The sequence below is a fragment of the Homo sapiens genome, chromosome 13 (genome assembly GCF_000001405.40).
Source record: "Homo sapiens chromosome 13, GRCh38.p14 Primary Assembly".
NCBI lineage: Eukaryota > Metazoa > Chordata > Mammalia > Primates > Hominidae > Homo > Homo sapiens.
In genome coordinates this window covers 41,942,750-41,960,773 of record NC_000013.11, presented here as the reverse complement: position 1 = coordinate 41,960,773, position 18,024 = coordinate 41,942,750, and the positions used below count along the sequence as shown (strand labels likewise).

The 18,024-nt window shown below is 38.2% G+C and overlaps 1 protein-coding gene across 2 annotated transcripts in view, besides 5 other annotated features; it reads left to right on the top strand.

Annotated features, from left to right (window-relative positions):
* The window catches only part of VWA8 (von Willebrand factor A domain containing 8), a 394,275-nt gene that overhangs the window by 336 nt on the left and 375,915 nt on the right, over positions 1-18,024 (top strand). For both annotated transcript variants that reach the window (NM_015058.2, NM_001009814.2), the window contains exon 2: positions 10,761-10,838. In NM_015058.2, coding sequence (NP_055873.1) covers positions 10,761-10,838 — 78 coding nt within the window. The remainder of the gene's footprint in view (positions 1-10,760; positions 10,839-18,024) is intronic.
* Positions 196-335: an enhancer, noted in NCBI's record as "active region_7636". NCBI's record gives its function as "activates an Ori minimal core promoter by ATAC-STARR-seq in GM12878 lymphoblastoid cells {active_cell/tissue: GM12878}" and the evidence as "EXISTENCE:reporter gene assay evidence [ECO:0000049][PMID:35858748]".
* Positions 431-931: an enhancer, noted in NCBI's record as "H3K27ac hESC enhancer chr13:42533979-42534479 (GRCh37/hg19 assembly coordinates)". NCBI's record gives its function as "activates a minimal SCP1, AML or CMV promoter by ChIP-STARR-seq in naive H9 embryonic stem cells {active_cell/tissue: H9 hESC(naive)}" and the evidence as "EXISTENCE:reporter gene assay evidence [ECO:0000049][PMID:30033119]".
* Positions 932-1,432: an enhancer, noted in NCBI's record as "H3K27ac hESC enhancer chr13:42533478-42533978 (GRCh37/hg19 assembly coordinates)". NCBI's record gives its function as "activates a minimal SCP1, AML or CMV promoter by ChIP-STARR-seq in naive H9 embryonic stem cells {active_cell/tissue: H9 hESC(naive)}" and the evidence as "EXISTENCE:reporter gene assay evidence [ECO:0000049][PMID:30033119]".
* Positions 15,099-15,599: an enhancer, noted in NCBI's record as "H3K4me1 hESC enhancer chr13:42519311-42519811 (GRCh37/hg19 assembly coordinates)". NCBI's record gives its function as "activates a minimal SCP1, AML or CMV promoter by ChIP-STARR-seq in naive H9 embryonic stem cells {active_cell/tissue: H9 hESC(naive)}" and the evidence as "EXISTENCE:reporter gene assay evidence [ECO:0000049][PMID:30033119]".
* Positions 15,600-16,100: an enhancer, noted in NCBI's record as "H3K4me1 hESC enhancer chr13:42518810-42519310 (GRCh37/hg19 assembly coordinates)". NCBI's record gives its function as "activates a minimal SCP1, AML or CMV promoter by ChIP-STARR-seq in naive H9 embryonic stem cells {active_cell/tissue: H9 hESC(naive)}" and the evidence as "EXISTENCE:reporter gene assay evidence [ECO:0000049][PMID:30033119]".

Sequence of the window (18,024 nt, the reverse complement as noted above, 5' to 3'; positions counted from 1 at the left end):
CTGTTGCTTCGCTGCGCTTGGAAGGACCGTTTGCCGAGCGGGGAGCTGAAAGATTGAGGTTCTAGTCCCGACCTCGGCGCTAACTGCTGTGTAACGTGGGGGCAAGGCGCTCGCCCTCTCTGTGCCTGATTCTGCAACCCGAGGGGTCTGGACTAAGGTTTCTGATGACCTAGAAGAGTGATTTCTCCTTCCCCTGCCGCTGCCTTTACCCCCAGAATTCTGACTTAGGTTATAATACTCGTAGAGGTTAATGCCTCAGCCCTATGGAATTATTGAAAGCTGGATTTGACCTTGCTCTCTGAGCCTCAAGGGCCTGGAAGCCGGTCTGTGTCATGTTCTAGCCAGGGCTTGTGGCGGCTTAGAAGGGAACATTCTTGCCAAAGAACCCATAGTTCACGGTGTTTTAAATGCATCCCCGAGCCTTTCCAAGTTTTACAGGAGTTTTCCTTAAAGTTTCACGTAATTCTTAGAGCTGACAGTTACACCTTAATTTAGTTAAAACACTTGCCTCTACAAATGAGGTAATTGAAACCCAGAAGGGAAAAGTGATTCGCTGGAGAACACACAACTAATTACTATGCTAGAATCACATGCTTTGATTTCTAAGCTCAGTATTTTTTGGCTCTACTTGAGCTGGTTTTAGGAATTCTTTTTCTTGTGTGTTGGTGGAGTTAGAGTTACTGTGATGGTTAAGGAAAGGATATCTGTTGTTGCTACCCTTGAATGGTGAAGTGATTCCAGACAAGATTTTGTCAATGTCAGTGCTGCTTGGAATAACAGGTTTTCACTATGAAATTGTAGGTTTCGTTGTCCTCTTGCATTTTCCCCGCAACCCCCAGTTTTCCTTGCTAAGAAATGAGCATATGGGCCGGGCGCGGTGGCTCACGCCTGTAATCCCAGCACTTTGGGAGGCTGAGGCGGGCGGATCACGGGGTCAGGAGATCGAGACCATCCTGGCTAACACGGTGAAACCCCCGTGTCTACTAAAAAGAAAATACAGAAAAATTAGCCGGGCGTGGTGGCGGGCGCCAGTAATCCCAGCTACTCCGGAGGCTGAGGCAGAAGAATGGCGTGAACCCGGGAGGCGGAGCTTGGAGTGACCGGAGCCACTGCACTCCGGCCTGGGCGACAGAGCAAGACTCCATCTCAAAAAAAAAAAAAAAAAAAGCATATTTAGGTCCCACGTATTTCGTTTTATTCATTGAAGACATACACCACCCCCGTCCCCCACCATAGTGTTGCAATTTCAAATTTTACTTTTTGTTTTTTTTTTTTTTTTTGCTTTTTCTCAATTACTCTCACTTCTGGGCTGTTTATTCATTTGTTTTTTACATTTTTTGTGTGTTCTTTATTTGTTTTTTGCTCCTTTGCCCTAGAAGGCAGAGGTCAAAGGTGGAAGTATAGCATAAACTATAGGTTGGGTTTTGGAGTTAAACAATTTGGGTTGGAATCCACTTATCCACTATCTAACCATGGGTCGTTGAGGGTAGGTTACTTAACTTTGTGTCCTAGTTTTCTTAACTGTAAAAGGATAAGAAGAATATATCTATTATGGTTGTTGTGAGGATTTATTAATTAATATAATCTGTGGCACATATTAATGCTCAATAAAAGTTAGCTTTTTTATTCTTAGTATGTACAGTTTTAGCTATTTGAGAATTATTCTGTTTCCTTGCCTTTAGAAGACATGAAACCAAGTTTGTTTAGATTCAGGACTGTTCAGACTATCTGGGTAGGCAGATTTAGCCGAGTGAATTGACTTGAACTTTTTAAAAAACAATTGTTCTTTGTACATGGATAATACATGTTGATTGTAAAAACACATGTGGGTGTGAGTTTTTAAAGTCTGTATTATATACGTATTGGTAGATAAGTTGTAAATGTCCTCAAATTTTGTTATAGCCAGTAAATCAAAGTATAGGCTTTGCTTCAAATGTGAGAGTCATGGACATATTACAGAGAACATACTATCTTCTTTAAATCAGTCATTTACTCTGGCAGGATCAGACCAAAAAGAGGTATTTTTTGAGGGTGTGAGAACTGTAACTGAATGCAGCTGGGAACCCACCAGAGATCTGGACTTGAGTAAGAGCAGTTGTGAGCCAGGTAAATGGACAGCACACTTTTGGCTACTCTGAGGCCTGAGAGTAAGGCTATCAAGATGGAAGTGTCCCATTTTGAATCAGAGATCATACATGGACAAGTGTAAAACTACAAATAGCAATAGGCCATAATGGATTACATCTTATGTTGGGATGATGCTCTCAGCTGCATTCATACATGTGACCAGTAACTGATTATCTCCTCTCTCTGTAATTGACATTGCTTCCTAATAGTTTGAAAAAAGAACAACAAAGTTCATAAATAATATATTTAAGTTATATACTGCTGTTATTTCTCCTGGAGTATTTGTTTTGTTTATCTATATATTCGTTTGGTGCCTGCCAACACTTTGTACCTAGTAAGCATTCAGTGGCTTATTTTGTGAAAGTTCATACAGAGAAGGAGCAGGAGAGGCTGGAATTGTCGTTTGCTCTCAAGAGAGGACCTTTGTTAAGCCTGATAAGCAGAAGGAAAATAGGTCATTTATGTTAAAAACAAAACAAGCAGATAAACTCAACCCAAACCCACTGCTTTTTATCCTGTGCTGTCAGATAGTATAAGTATCTATAATTGTAAATTCTTTATATCTCTTTATACTTCCATTAAAATTACTGTCTCTTGGTTTTAAGAGCAAAGAGGTTAACAAGGATATCTACTGCAGAGAGTTTTCAATAAAGATTATTGTAGTGTTTTTACAGATGGAGCCAAGCAAGTTGTTTCAGTGGGACTCTGATGTTAAATGGATTCAAATATACTATAGATCAAATGATAAACCTAGAAACATAACTGTATAAATATATCATGACATTTTGGTGCTTTCCTTTAACGCCATTATTATTAAAGGGATTCACAGTTTTTTCTTTATGACTCTTGTATATGAAGTAAATTTGTTTATAGAAATACCCTAAAATACTTTTACACAGCAATCTATGTTTATTATAGAAGAGTGATAAGTACAGATTCCCTAAAACATGATCCTCCCACCCAAATTTATAATTATCAACTTTTTAGCATTAATCCTATCAGATTACATATATATGTATAATTATTTATTTATTTATTTTTGAGATGGAGTCTTGCTGTGGCACCCAGGCTGGAGTGCAGTGGAGCAGTCTTGGCTTACTGCAACCTCCACCTCCTGGGTTCAAGCGATTCTCCTGCTTCAGCCTCCCAAGTAGCTGGGACTACAGGTGTGCACCACTGTATTAATCTGTTCTCACACTGCTATAAGGACATGCCAGAGACTGGGTAATTTATGAAGAAAAAGAGGTTTCATGGACTCAATAGTTTCGCATGGCTGGGTAGGCCTCACAATCATTGTGGAAGGCGAAGGAGGAGAAAAGTCACGTCTTACATAGCGGCAAGTAAGAGAGCTTGTGTACAGAAACTCCCCTTTATAGAACCATCAGACCTCGTGAGACTTTTTCACTACCACGAGAACAGCACAGGAAAAACCTGCCCCCATGATTCAATTACCTCCCACTGGGTCCCTCCCATGACACATGGGGATTATGGGAGCTAGAATTCAAGACAAGATTTGGGTCGGACACAGGCAAACCATATGAGCCACCCCAGCTAATTTTTGTATTTTTGGTAGAGATGGGGTTTCACCATGTTGGCCAGGCTGGTCTCGAACTCCTGACTTAAAGTGATCTGCCCATCTTTGCCTCCCAAAGTGCTGGGATTACAGATTTGAGCCACTGTGCCTGGATGATATGTATATTTATACAGATACATTTTTTTAAAGAAATGGGATCATGTATGTTTTATAATTATTACATCCATTATTGTGAACATATTAACATGGTAATAAATATCATTGTACATGATTGTTTAAAGTAGTTATTAAGTTTATATGTTTGTCCATATAATTTATTTTACTGTCTCATTCTTGCACATTCATGTTGTCTAAAATATATAAACAATGCAATAAACATCCATCTACATGAATTTTTGTTATTTTAAGATTATATCCTTGGGCTACAATAGGATTAGATAGAAATAACTTTGAGGAGGGGAAATATAGAACTGTGGCTTCAACTGAGAAATACAGTGTAAAGAGGAAAGAACTATACTGTGGTTTTGGTCTAAGTTTTGTATTTATCAGGTATTGAACCTTGGGGAAATTATTAACTACTTTAAACCTGCAGCAGGTTATTTTGACCCTGAGGATATTCTGACCCCATTGTGTATTCAAGAATTTAACAGAAAGGCTCAGAACAATGGTAAGCTTATAAATCATTAGGCAGATCTGCATTAGGGGCACATAGACTAGTGTGGGAATTGCTGATATATTTAGTTTTCTCTTGGGTCTAAGTTTAGTATATATAAAAATGATGACACTAACCCAGTAGTTCTCAACCCAAGGTGATTTCTCCCCCTCAGGGGACATTTAGCAATGTCTGGAGATGTTTCTTTTTGGTTATCAGAACCAGGAGGGAGGGGTGCTACTGGCATCTAGCGGGTAGAGGCCAGTGATGCTGCTAAACAGTCCATGACACACAGGACAGCCCCTCACAACAAAAAATTATCTGGCCCAAAATGTTCATAGGGCCGCTGTTGAAAAACCCTCATGAAACCAACTTCTTTGTCAAAGCTACTGTTAGAAACTTTAGACTCACTAAACTTAACAGAATTTAAGCACAGAACAATTTGTGAATTGGGCAGTCCTCAGAACCAGAATAAGCTCAGAGAGCTCCATTCTGAAACGTGAGCAGGCAGCATTTATGGACAGAAAATGGAAGTCAGGTACGGAAACAGCTTACTTGGCTATAACTCAGTGTTTGCCTTACTTGAACACGGTCTCATCAGTTGGCAGCCTGTGGTTGACCCAAGCTCAGCTGCTCAGATTGGCTAAGACTCATCTATTTGTTACCAAAGTATACTCCTAAGTTCCGGTTTCAGTTAATTTACATACAAAGTTATGTTGCAATTCATTACATAAGGACTCCAAGTACGGAGGCATCCTTAGACCAAATTTGGTTGAATTTAACAATTTGCCCCTTTGGTTAGCTTCTCAATTTTGACAGATTCACTGAAACTTTGGGCATTGTTGCCACTCTCTGTCACCAACTTAATGGACTTACTTGGTCTCATTATGGAATTTAAAAGCCATGATGTCATATCAGTTGAATAATTCTTTATGTTCTTGCTGTTCTGGTCAAAGTGAGACCATTGAATGCTCAATGAATGGCTGCATACAAACATTTAAGACTTGAGAGGATATGGTGCACCAGAAGGGCTATCATGAAGAATCTCAGGATAATAATAAAGACTGTAGTGTACTTCTTAACAGGAGCCCCTGTGAACTGAACCAATCAGAAATCCAGCAAGGTTCAGGCACTTTAGACACTTCAATAGTATTTGAGTCTAGTTCAAGTAAACCCACAGTTTACATGAAGAAAGGCATACATTTGCTTCTTTTGCCTAAATTATGTTACCTGTTGTCTTATAAGTATTCTTATTCCCCTTTAGAGAGTAAACTACCTCACTTAAATCATTATAGATGGCTTGACTTATAAGCACATTAGTAGGTGGGATGTTTTCAAAGGAGAAAACATTACAGCTTAAAAACAATACTTAAGAAAAAATTTAAAATTATAATTATTCATTTGTCAAACATTTATTGAATATCTGGTAGGTTTCAGGTATTGGGGATAAAATGATGATTAAAACTTAGGCCTTGCACCAAGAAAAAAAGAGTCCTGTAGACTAAACAGTAGTCTTCAAAAATTTTTCTTATTTATCTGCTAGGAGGATTTTAAAAATATGTATCCCTTTGAACATTTTTAGGTTAATAGCTAAAGTTTTCCTGGTAAGTTTAAATAGTTGCAAACGATGACATTTCCAGTATGTTGTAAATATTGGCATTTAAAAGAAAAAATATTACAAATTCTGAGTGTATCTTTTAAGTGGAAACAGAATATTCTAGTAATTTAGTACAAATTCTGAGTGTATCTTTTAAGTGGAAATAGAATATCCTATCTCTATTTTGGAAGTAGATAAAAAGCTCTTCTTTAATTGTTAGAAAATGTCTCTTATCTCCTTGAATTTGTATTTCCATTACAGAAGCATAAATCAGATCCTGTGCTAGCAGAAAGACTAATGGAGTGATCAATTTGTGCTAGAGGAAAAGTTAGGGAAGGTTCAATGGGGAGATGAAGATATTTCAGTAGTAGTTGTGTAGAGGGCAAGTGGTGTGAGAGAGATGTGGAAGGTCTTCTAGGCTGAGGAGATAAAGTGTTAGTCACTGAGATAGGAATACAAGAGGTGGAGCTGGTTAGAGGTGGTTAGGCGCACACAATGGACAATATAGAATTCTGTTTCTGTGTGTTTGTTGAGTTGTCTCTGGAATATCTAGGTAAAGTCTCCAGTAGGCTACTGGCAGGTATGAAACTCAGGAGAGAGATCTGAGCCAAAATAGACATTTAAAGAATTAGTTGTATATGGTGTTTGAAGAGTACCCTTAACTGAAAAAAAAAAAAAGGTTGTATAGAGGTCAGAGTTGGGACATTGGTATGGATTAAATGACTGAGGAAAGTGTAGTGTAGTAACAGAAGATGGCCAAGAACATCAATGTTTGAGGCAGAGATGGCAGATGCCTGGTCCATATGAATGTCATAACTTTTCCCTTTTGTCTATTGCAGATGTGGCTCATTGATCACCACCCTGTTTCCCAATGAGTCCAATTTCCGTTGTGATTTATTTTTTGGATTTTTTAAGAAGCCTGTTGCTTGATTTCCAAATGTTTGGGGATTTTCCAGTTACCTTTTTGTTACTGATTTCCAGTTTAATTCCACTGTGGTAAGAAAACATAATCTTTATGACTTCCATCCTTTAATTTTCTTTTTTAATTTTTTTTGACACAGAGTTTCACTCTTGTTGCCCAGGCTGGAGTGCAATGGCGCTATCTCGGCTCACTGCAACCTCCGCCTCCCTGGTTCAAGCAATTCTCCTGCTTCAGTCTCCCAAGTAGCTAGGATTACAGGCATGTGCCAGCCACCACGCTCAGCTAATTTTGTATTTTTAGTAGAGATGGGGTTTCACTATGTTGGTCTGGCTGGTCTCAAACTCCTGGCCTCAGGTGATCCACCCACCTCGGCCTCCCAAAGTGCTGGGATTATAGGCACCAGCCATTGTGCCTGGTCTCATCTTTAAATTCCTTGAGACTTGCTTTATGGTCCAGCCTATAATTTATTTTGGTGAATGTTCCATGTGCATTTAAAAAGGATATGCATTCTGATCATGAGGAACCAATTACAATACTAAAAAGTGCTTTATAAAATACAATATTCAGTTGATAGGTTGAGAAAATAAAAACATACTTGCAGTAATACTTAAATAAATAATAAATAGAATATGCATTCTGTTGTTGGGTGTAGTGTTCCATAAATGTCATTTAGGCCAAGTGATTAATAATGTTTTCCAATCTTCTCTTTCTTTACGTCTATACTTGGTCTTTGCCAGAAGGCTGAGAAAAAATTATCCTTATCCTGTATCCTTCTTTATTTTTTCCTACTTCTTCCATTATTTACCAAGAGAGCTACTTAAAGCTATTAATATCTAGATGTGATTGTGCATTTTTCTATTTCCACTTTTAGTTCTGTCCGTTTTTGCTTCATGTTTATTTCCCAGCTCCCTCCCTGCCAGGTCACCATTATGGGTTTGCTGTGTTACCCAGAAGGAGGCTTCCTAACACAGTGACCCTCTCTGCTTGCTCTCTCCCCTTGCCCCTTCAGGCCTAGGGGCGGTAATGACTTTCTGTTATTGCTAGTCCTAGGATACTGCACCATCTTTTTTGGTTTCCGTAAACTCTGCTATACCTTTGTAAATAGTTCCCTTTTTGTACTCTCCTCAGTTACTCAGTTTGAATGTACTGTCTTTCAGAAATGTGAGGTATGAATTTTACTTTTTTTAAAAAAAAAATGGACAGCCAATTGTCAAGTTACCATGAATTTGTATAGTCTGCCCTTTTTCTAGATTATTTATTAGAAGGATGATGTCGGTCAGCTCTAACACTCAGGGAATGTTTGTAATGAGAACCTGTGCCTGAAAACGTTTTTCTTATGTTCAGATTAATTACTCAGTATCATTTTGTCAGGAGGCCAAATAATTACAGTCTTTTCAGGAAGTGAAATAACATTTGTAAAGACATCCTATTTGAAAATACTGTAACTATAATTCTTGAAACTACTCTGTAATAAAAGCCAGTAGATAATATCACTTATATTTGTAAGCAAGCTTATCTTTTAAAAGAAAAGCTACTGTAGAAAGTAGCTAATTTATAGGTTCTTTCCTGCATTAAGGAAAATAGGGCGAGATGACCAGTCAACCAATACCTGGCAGTAACTAAGATTGTACTATATGAGGCACTGCTGACCACCTGTTTTTTGAGGGTGTTAGAACTTAAACGACCAAATGATCTCAAACATGCATTAGAGATCATCTGGAGGGCTCATTGTAACACCGATTGCTGGACCTTAGGGTTTCTAATTCAGTAGGTCTGAGGTGGGGCCTGAAGATTTATATGACTTACAAGTTCCCAGGTGACGTTGATGCTTTGAGAATCTCTGTGATAGATTGCGTGAAGACAAAGAGTTAATTGGACAGGGGAGGAAAAGGGAGCGGTGCACGGGTTATGGAGGAGCTTTGCAGGCTTTTGAATTTTGGTCCTCATCATCTTTTGCCTTGCTTTTTTCTGGCTGCCAGTTTTGGACCTAGCAGGGATTTAGCTTTGTGTGTAGTCCTTATCTTCCTCTCTCAATTTACCACATACCTGTAATAAATTTCTTTATCTGTTAAAAACTCTGTTATGGATTTACAAATTTTCTCATTTGTAAAATTTCTGTCTCATAGGATTATTTTGAGAATGCAAAAAATACTTAGAAGGTAGTAAGCATTCAACAAATGTTGGCTATTGTTATTAGTACCATGATTTAAGGCCTTAGTGTTCAAGGTATCTTGCTAGCTTTAAACTGGCAGTGCTGAAAGATGAGTTTTGCACGACTACTTTTTTGGAGTGTCTCTGAGCCCTTTCCAAATGAAATTCTAGATGCAAATGGTATCACCATGCCTATTTTGCTGTTAGAGAGAGCACAGCGGGGAGAGATTATTCAGTTTAGTCCTCGGCTTTAGAAGATCACTCGGAAATTAAGGTTACATTAAAAAATAGAACTGTATAGAACTTACTGAAAACTTTTGCCTGCTTTTGCTTATTTCATGTAGGAATTCTTGGCTTTTATTTTTTATTTATTTGAGACGGAGTGTCGCACCGTTGCCCAGGCTGGAGTGCAGTGGCGTAATCTTGGCTTGCTGCAACCTCCGCCTCCTGGCTTTAAGCGATTCTCCTGCCTCAGCCTCCCAAGTAGCTGGGATTACAGGTACGTACCACCACGCCCAGCTAATTTTTGTATTTTTAGTAGAGACGGGGTTTTACCATGTTGGTCAGGCTGGTCTCTAACTCCTGACCTCAAGTGATCCGCCTGCCTTGGCCTCCCAAAGTGCTAGGATTACAGGCGTGAGCCACTGCACCTGGCCAGTTCTTGGCATTTATGCCACTGGGGCTTTATTCCTTTTATGCACCTAGAAATGTTGAAGTTTGAGGATATGTTGCTGGATAATTTGAAACTGTATGCAGTAAAAATACGGGTGTACAAAGATATGTAAAAAGGTTGAGGATCTGTGTTAAAGGTAACACTCTATGGGCTGGGTGTGGAGGCTCACACCTGTAATCCCAGCACTTTGGGAGGCCGAGGTGGGCGGATCACTTGAGGTCAGGAGTTCAAGACCAGCCTGGCCAACATGGTGAAACCTCATCTCTACTAAAAATACAAAAATTAGCCAGATGTGGTGGCACATACCTGTAATCCCAGCTACTCAGGAGGCTGAGGCAGGAGAATCACTTGAACCCAGGAGGCGGAAGTTGCGGTGAGCCAAGATCACATCACTGCACTCCAGCCTGGGTGGCAGAATAAGAGTCCGTCTTAAAAAAAAAAAAAAAAAAAGGCTGAGTGTGGTGACTCATGCCTGTAATCCCAGCACTTTGGGAGGCCAAGGCGGGCAGATCACGAGGTCAGGAGATCGAGATCATCCTGGCTAACATGGTGAAACCCCGTCTCTACTAAAAATACAAAAAGCTAGCTGGGCATGGTGGCAGGCGCCTGTAATCCCAGCTACTCTGGAGGCTGAGGCAGGAGAATGGTGTGAACCCGGGAGGCGGAGCTTGCAGTGAGCTGAGCTTGCACCACTGCACTCCAGCCCAGGTGACAGAGTGAGACTCCATCTCAAAAACAAAAAAAAAAAAAGATTTTACTCTATGGATACTTTGAATGATCTTAAACAAAATGCATTCTTCTGTATTGCTTTTGCCTATATTAATGTTGCTATTCATGAAATAAAGCTTGTTGATGTATTTTATCATGTTTTTGTTTGTTTGTTTGCTAACACATTTAAAATGTGAATTGCACTGATGCCTCACTTCTCCTTTATACATATATACTTTGGATAGAAGTTTTAGAGCATAGTGCTTGACTTATAGACAGCTGCGTAGTACATTTCTGTAACATCCCTCTCTGTAGGTCAGGACAAGCATTGTTGCATAGTCTATGGTTTTCTCGTTTGTCTCTTATAATTATTCTGTTTTTAAAATCTCTTTTTAGGTGATACAGTTAATATTGGAGATGTATCCTACAAGTTGAAAATTCCTAAGAATCCAGAACTTGTGCCACAGAACTACAGTAAGAAATATTTATTAATATATGAATGAATAACTTTTAACTTTTCATTATAGGAATTTTCAAAGTTATTTAAAGCTAGAGAGAATAGTATAAACCTAATGATTTTATCATCCAGCTTCAACATTTATCAATATTATGCCAATCTTCTTTTAACTGATTTTTGTTCTGGAGTATTTAAAACCTATCCCAGACATCCTATTACTTCACCCATCAATATTTCAGTAGAAACATTTATTTTTCTCACATCCTACTGTTTCTTTTTTACCTGGAATAAGATTTACATATAATGCACAGAACTTTTTTTTTTTTTAATTATACTTTAAGCCCTGGGACACATGTGCAGTACACGCAGGTTTGTTACATAGGTATACACGTGCCATGGTGGTTTGCTGCACCCATCAACCGGTCATCTACATTAGATACTTCTCCTAATGCTATTCCTCCCCTAGCCCCCTACCCCCTGACAGGCCCCAGTGTGTGTTGTTCCCCTCCCTGTGTCCATGTGTTCTCATTGTTCAACTCCCACTTATGAGTGAGAACATACAGTGTTTGGTTTTCTGTACCTGTGTTAGTTTTCTGAGAATGATGGTTTCCAGTTTCATCCATGTCCCTGCAAAGGACATGAACTCATCATTTTTTATGGCTACATAGTATTCCATGGTGTATAGGTGCCACATTTTCTTTATCCAGTCTATCATTGATGGGCATTTGGGTTGGTTCCAAGTCTTTGCTATCGTGAACAGATGCACAGATCTTAAGTATTTATTTTGGTTGGTTTTGACAATTTTATAAACCTGTATAACCACCAAGATTACATTAATCATCCCAAATGTTCTCTTGTGTTCCTACCCCTTTACCCTGCCCTGGAAATCACTGTTCTTTTTTTTTTTTTTTTTTTTTTTTTATGATGGTAGATTAGTTTTGCTTGTTCTTTAGCTATATATAAATAGAGTCACATGGTATGGTTGTATGTGTGTATGTATTTTTTTTCTCATGAAGAGCATTAATTTGAGATTCATCTATGTTGCTGTACCTATCAGTTTGTTTTTAATTCCTGAATAATGTTCCATTGTATAAACATACCACAGTTTGTTTATCCATTCTCCTATTGATAGACATTTGGATGGCTTTCATTTGAAGCCTGCTGTGAACATTCCTGTACAATTCTTGTAGTTATCAGTTTTTACTTCTGTTGAGTAAAAATCTAGGAGTTGAGTTGATATGTCATACTATAGATGCCTGTTTAACTTTTTAACTCACTGCCAAACAATTCTCCAAAGCAGTTGTACCATTTTACCTTTGACCGACAGTGATGTTCTACATCCTTGTCAGCATAGTCTTTTTAATCTTAGTCTACCAGGTGTGAAAAAGTAACTCATCATGGTTTTTGGTTTATAACAGTTTTATTGAGATATAATTCATATACCATAAAGTTCACCTTTCCATATTGTACAATTCAGTAATTTTAGTTTATTCAGAGTTGTACAACCATACTGTTATCTAACGTTTTCATCACTCCATGAAGAAACTTTATACTCATTAATAGTTATTTCCCATTTTCTTTCTTCTCTCTCCCCCACCACCCTCCCAGCATTTAGCAACTACTAATATACTTTCTGTTTCTATAGATTTGTCTATTTTGGACATTTTATATACATGGGATATGTAGCCATTGTATCTTGCTTATCTTAGCATAATGTTTTCAAGGTTTATTGATGCTGTAGTTCATTGCTTTTTATGGCTAAATTATATTCCATTGTGTGGATATTCCACATTTTGCTTATCCTTTCATCAGTTGATGGACATTTGGATTGTTTCCACTTTCGGACTATTGTGAATATTGCCACTCCAAGCATCCATATGCAAGTTTTTATATGGACATATTTTCAACTTTCTTGGGTTTTACCTAGAAGATAAATTGCTAGGTCACATGGTAACTCTATGTTTAACATTTCAAGGAATTACCAAAATGTTTTGTTTTGTTTTTTTTTTTTTTTTTTTTTTGAGACAGGGTCTCACTTTGTGGCCCAGGCTGGGGTGCAGTGGTGCAATGTCGGCTCACTGCAACCTCCCCCTCCCAGGTTCAACCTCCAGGTCCTCAGCCTCTCCAGCAGCTGGGACTATAGGTGCAGGTTACCATCCCCAGCAATTTTTGTATTTTTTGGTAGAGATGGGGTTTCACCACATTGATCAGGCTGGTCTCAAACTCCTGTCCTCATGTGATCCGCCCACCTCAGCCTCCCAAAGTGCTGGGTTTACTGGCATGAGCCACTGCGCCCGACCACCAATATGGTTTTCAAATCACCTACACCATGTTACATTCTAACTAGCAATGTGTGAGGATTCTAGTTTTTCCACATCCTCACTAACACTTGTTATTGTTTGTCTTTTTTATTACAGCCATAGTCAGACATGTGAAGTGACATCTCATTGTGGTCCTGATTTGTATTTCCCTAATGACTTGCAATCATTATTTGCCCAAAATCATGTCACTTCTTTTCTCAAAATTCTTTAAATGAGTTTTTAGTATTTTGGGAACAAAGGTCCATCCTTAGCTATTAATTTCTTGATCTAATCTTAGTCTCATCTCATGCCACTCTCCTCTCCTATTCTTTGTTCCAGTCATTGGTCATGATATAGAATAGCTTTTTGTTCACTCTTCAGATTCTTCCACTAGACTATGTGCTCTGTTAAAGAAAAAATAAATCAATGATATGTGTTAAAGCCGGGTAAGGAAGACTTTATTCAGGACTGTCACTATGAGTCTTGCAGTGGGGGAGAAAGACTGGGCTCAACCCCCAATGCAGCATGGGCAAGTGGTAGTTTATAGCCAAGGAACAGTGTGGGAGTTGGTGGATAGAAAATTGTTAAGAGGAAATGTCAGGGTTAAGGGAGATTCTGGCTAAGCCAACCTAACAAAATTCTTGCTGACGACAGGCTGGGGTGATCAGACATCACCTGGGGGATTGTAGAAGATGAGGACTCTGATCAGCTATCAAGGGTGATTAGATTATGAGGATGGGCGGGTTCTGGATAAATTGTTTTAATGGCGTTCTTTTGCTACAACTGGATTTTACAAGGAAGTACACAGGTGTGTCTAGGAAAAGGTTTAGAAACCTGACTAAAGTTTGGGCAAGAAGAGAATCTTTGTCAGCTTCTTGAGGGAGAATATGTCACTTTCATCTAACCCAAGGTTCCATTGACTCTACCCCCTAAATGCCTCTGCAATCTGTCCTTTCCACTCTGGCCCACTTTTTCTTTTACTACTCTTTTTTTTTTTTTAATTATTTTGTTAGTGGTCATCCTAGGGATTCTAATTAACACTTTAACCTAAAACAATCTTGTTTAGATTAATGGTAACTTAGTTTCAATAGTATATAAACTACTCCAATGTAGCTCTGTTCCCTTCCAGCTCCTCAGTGCTATTATTGTCATACAAACTATATCTTTATACATTAAAAGTTTATCAGCACAGTTTTATAATTATTGCTTTATGAAGTTTTTAAAATCAGGTAGAAGAAAAGAGTTACAAACAAAAATAGGCTTACGTTGTCATTATTATTTATCTATGTAGTTCCCTTTACTGATAATCTTTATTTCTTCATGTGGATTTGAGTTACTGTCTAGTGTGCTTTCATTTCAGCTTAAAGGAAGGATGCCCTTTAGTAAGTATCTTCTAGATGGCAGGTTTGCTAGTGGTGAATTATCACTTTTTTTTTTTTAAATTTGGAAATGTCTTCATTTCTCCTTTGTATTTTGAAGGATAATTTTACTGGAAATAGAATTCTTGGTTGACAGGTTTTTTTTTTTCAGCACTTTGAATATGTCTTCTTACTGTTTGTGGACTTCCTAGATTTTGAAAAGAAGTCAGTTATCAATCTTAACAAGGATCCTTTTTATATGATAAGTCAGTTTTTCTCTGCTATCAAGATTCTCTCTTCAGCTTTTTGATAGTTTGACTGTGGATGTGTCTAAGTGCAGATTTCTTTGAATTTACCTTGTTTTGAGTTTGTTGAGCTTCTTGGATGGGATGTGGAAATTAATGTTTTTCATCGAAGTTGGCAAAATTTTGGCTATTATTTTTCATTATTATTTATTTATTCTCTTTTTTCTCTCTCCTTCGAGGACTCCCATTATATTTGATAGATTTGATGGTGCCCCACAAGTCTGTGAGACTCAGTTCATTTTTCTTTATAATTTCTTCTTTCTGTTCCTTAGATTGGATCATCTCAACTGACTAATCTTCAAGTTTGCTGATTCTTTCCTCTGCCTGCTCACATCTGTTGTTGAGCCCCTCTGGTTAATTTAATCAGAGTTTTCAAGTTCAGAATTTTTATTTGGATCTTGTTTTATAATTTCTCTTTATTGGTACTCTGTTTCATGAGACGTTGTTGTCATACTTCTTTAGACATGATTTCTTTTAATTCTTTGAATGTATTTGTGGTAGCTGATTTAAAGTGTTTTTCTACTTAGTCAAATGTCTGGTTTACTCAGAGATAGTTTTTATTGACTCCTTTTTTCTGTATGTATGAGCCATACTCTCCTATTTCTTAATTTCTTATAATTTTGTTGTTACTGAAAGTAGACATTTTAAATAGTATAATCTCTCCTTCCCAGGCTTTGTGGTTGCTCCTTGTGTTGCTGTTTTTTTTTTTAGTGATGTTCCTAGTCTATTTCTTTAAAGTCTGTGTTCTTTGTCATGCCTTGTTAGCTTAGTGGTCAGCTAATGTTTGAACGGAGATTTCTTTAATGCCTTGAATCAATAAGTCTCTTGGCTTTTGCTGAGAGTCTGTGTGTGCAAGTTGGACATGACTTCAGTGCTCCATAGGTAGCTTACAGTTGTGTCTCAACCTTTTCTTTCTGCTTGTGTGGACCCTCAAGATTAGCGGAAGGTGAGAGAGAGATTAGGCCCTTCTCAGGATTTTCCTGAATATATGCATGGCCTTCCAGATTCTTAGGCATACACTGAAGCTTTTCAAAGCCTTCTGCAAACATCTCATTTTCAGTTTTTGTTTCTGTCTTTAAAGTTTTTTGGTTGTCCTCTTGTTAGCTCCAACTGGTTTTGCTGCCTCAGGCAGCTGTGATGTTAAACAATTGTTGATTTTTTTTGACAAATGCCCCGAGTTAGTGCTGTTTGCATACAGTAGCTCTGAGTACATCAAATAAAGACAAATTCTAAAAATGGAGCATTTCAGGGAGCTGCCAGACAGGTCAAGTAGGGATAATTTTTTGGGATTGAGGCTTTTGAGGAGCTTCTGTATAGTTCTGTTCACTTCAGTGACTTCCAGGCTGCTGGTTTTCACCATGATTATGGACAGTTTGTTGTAAAACAATTGGGCTCACGCCTGTAATCCTAGCACTTTGGGAGGCTAAGGTGGGATGATCGCTTGAGGCCAGGAGTTTGAGACCAGCTTGGGCAACATAGTGAGACACTAAAACCCTGTTTCTGTAAAAAATAAAATATTGTTTTTTATTGTGGTTGAGGCTGCAGTGAGCCATGATTGTGCAACTGCATGCCTCCTGCTTGAACAACAGAGTGAGACCCTGTCTCAATAAAAGAAAAAAGAAAAGAAAAACAATCACAGAGCTAGGGACATGGGGATGGGGTTAGGGCGAATTAACCCCTTTTCTTACATAAATGCTCATGAGATTGTTGAAAACTTTTTGATTTCCAGAGTTCTAAAGAAGTTGAGTTTGACAATTTATGCCATTATTATTGTTTTTTTAAGAAGGAATGAATTTTCAGAGGTCCTTACTCTATTCCAGTAATGCCTGTCCTCTCACTGTGGTTTATTTATTTATTATTATTATTATTATTATTATTATTTTTTGAGACAGAGTCTTGCTCTGTCGCCCAGGCTGGAGTGCAGTGGCTCAATCTTGGCTCACTGCAGCCTCTGCCTCCCAGGTTCAAGCGATTCTCCTACCTCAGCCTCCCGAGTAGCTGGGATTACAGGCTCACGCCACATTGCCTAGCTAATTTTTGTATTTTTTTAGTAGAGACAGGGTTTTACCCTGTTGGCCCAGGCTGGTCTTGAACTCCTGACCTCAGGTGATCCACCCACCTTGGCCTCCAAAGTGCTGGTATTACGGGCATGAGCCACTGCACCCAGCCTCACTGTGGTGTAAGTTTGCATTTCTCTGATGAACAGTGATGTTCAAGATATTTTTCTGTGCTTATTGGCCCTTTGTATTTCTACTTTTGTGAAGTATATATTAAAGTCAGTTGCCCACTAAAAAAATTGAGTTGTCTGCCTTTTTATTATTGAGTTGCAAAAGTTTTTTATGTATTATGGATCCAAGTACTTTGTCATGTATAAGTATTATGAATACTTTTTCTCAATCTATTTGCTTAGTCATTTTCTCATTGATATCTTTTGGTTGGCAGAAAGTTTGATTACACATAATTTATTGATTATTTATTTTTTAAAGTTAGTGCTCATTGTGTCAGAAATCTTGGCCTACACCAAGACTGTAAAGACATTCTGTGTTTTTTTCCTAAGAATTTTATAATTCTGCTTTGTTTTAAAAGGATAGGTCTATTACATCTCTGCTTCTAAATTCATCAGCACCATTTTTTCATAATATAGCCTTTATTAGTTAAATATCTGAGAATCTGTAGTGATTAGTGATATCTGTAGAATCTATAGTGATAATTCTCTATTTTGTTCTTGATACTGGAAATTTGTATTTGTGTTTTTTCCTTTTCTTTTTAATTAGTCTTACTATGGGTTTATCAGTGCTAATAACTTTTCAAGGAAACAGCTTTTGACTATTGATTTTTTTCTCTTGCTTGTCCATTTGTTATTTCATTGATTTCCAAGCATTAATTTTTATTTATTTTTATTTTAGTTCCTCTTCTAACACCAGCTTCACAAACTGTGGCAAACCTGGGGCCAAAGAGGTCTGTGAAAATCTCTTTGCTGTATAGCTGCCAGATTTTTGGAATGCTGGGGAATTCTCTTTGCTATTCAGTCTTATATTCTGCTTGCTGCAACTCAGCTGTCTCTTGTCTTGTTGTACTGCCCTCAGCCTCCAGAGGCCACTTCAGTGAAGGTGGAGAGTGCTTCTGAGGGATTTATCTCAGCTATCTGGCCCCAGTACCATCCTTAAGGAACTGCTGTCTTGCACTGGATAAAGACCTGGAGTGCCTAGGAGGAATCTCTGTCACCTCTTCTCTCCTACC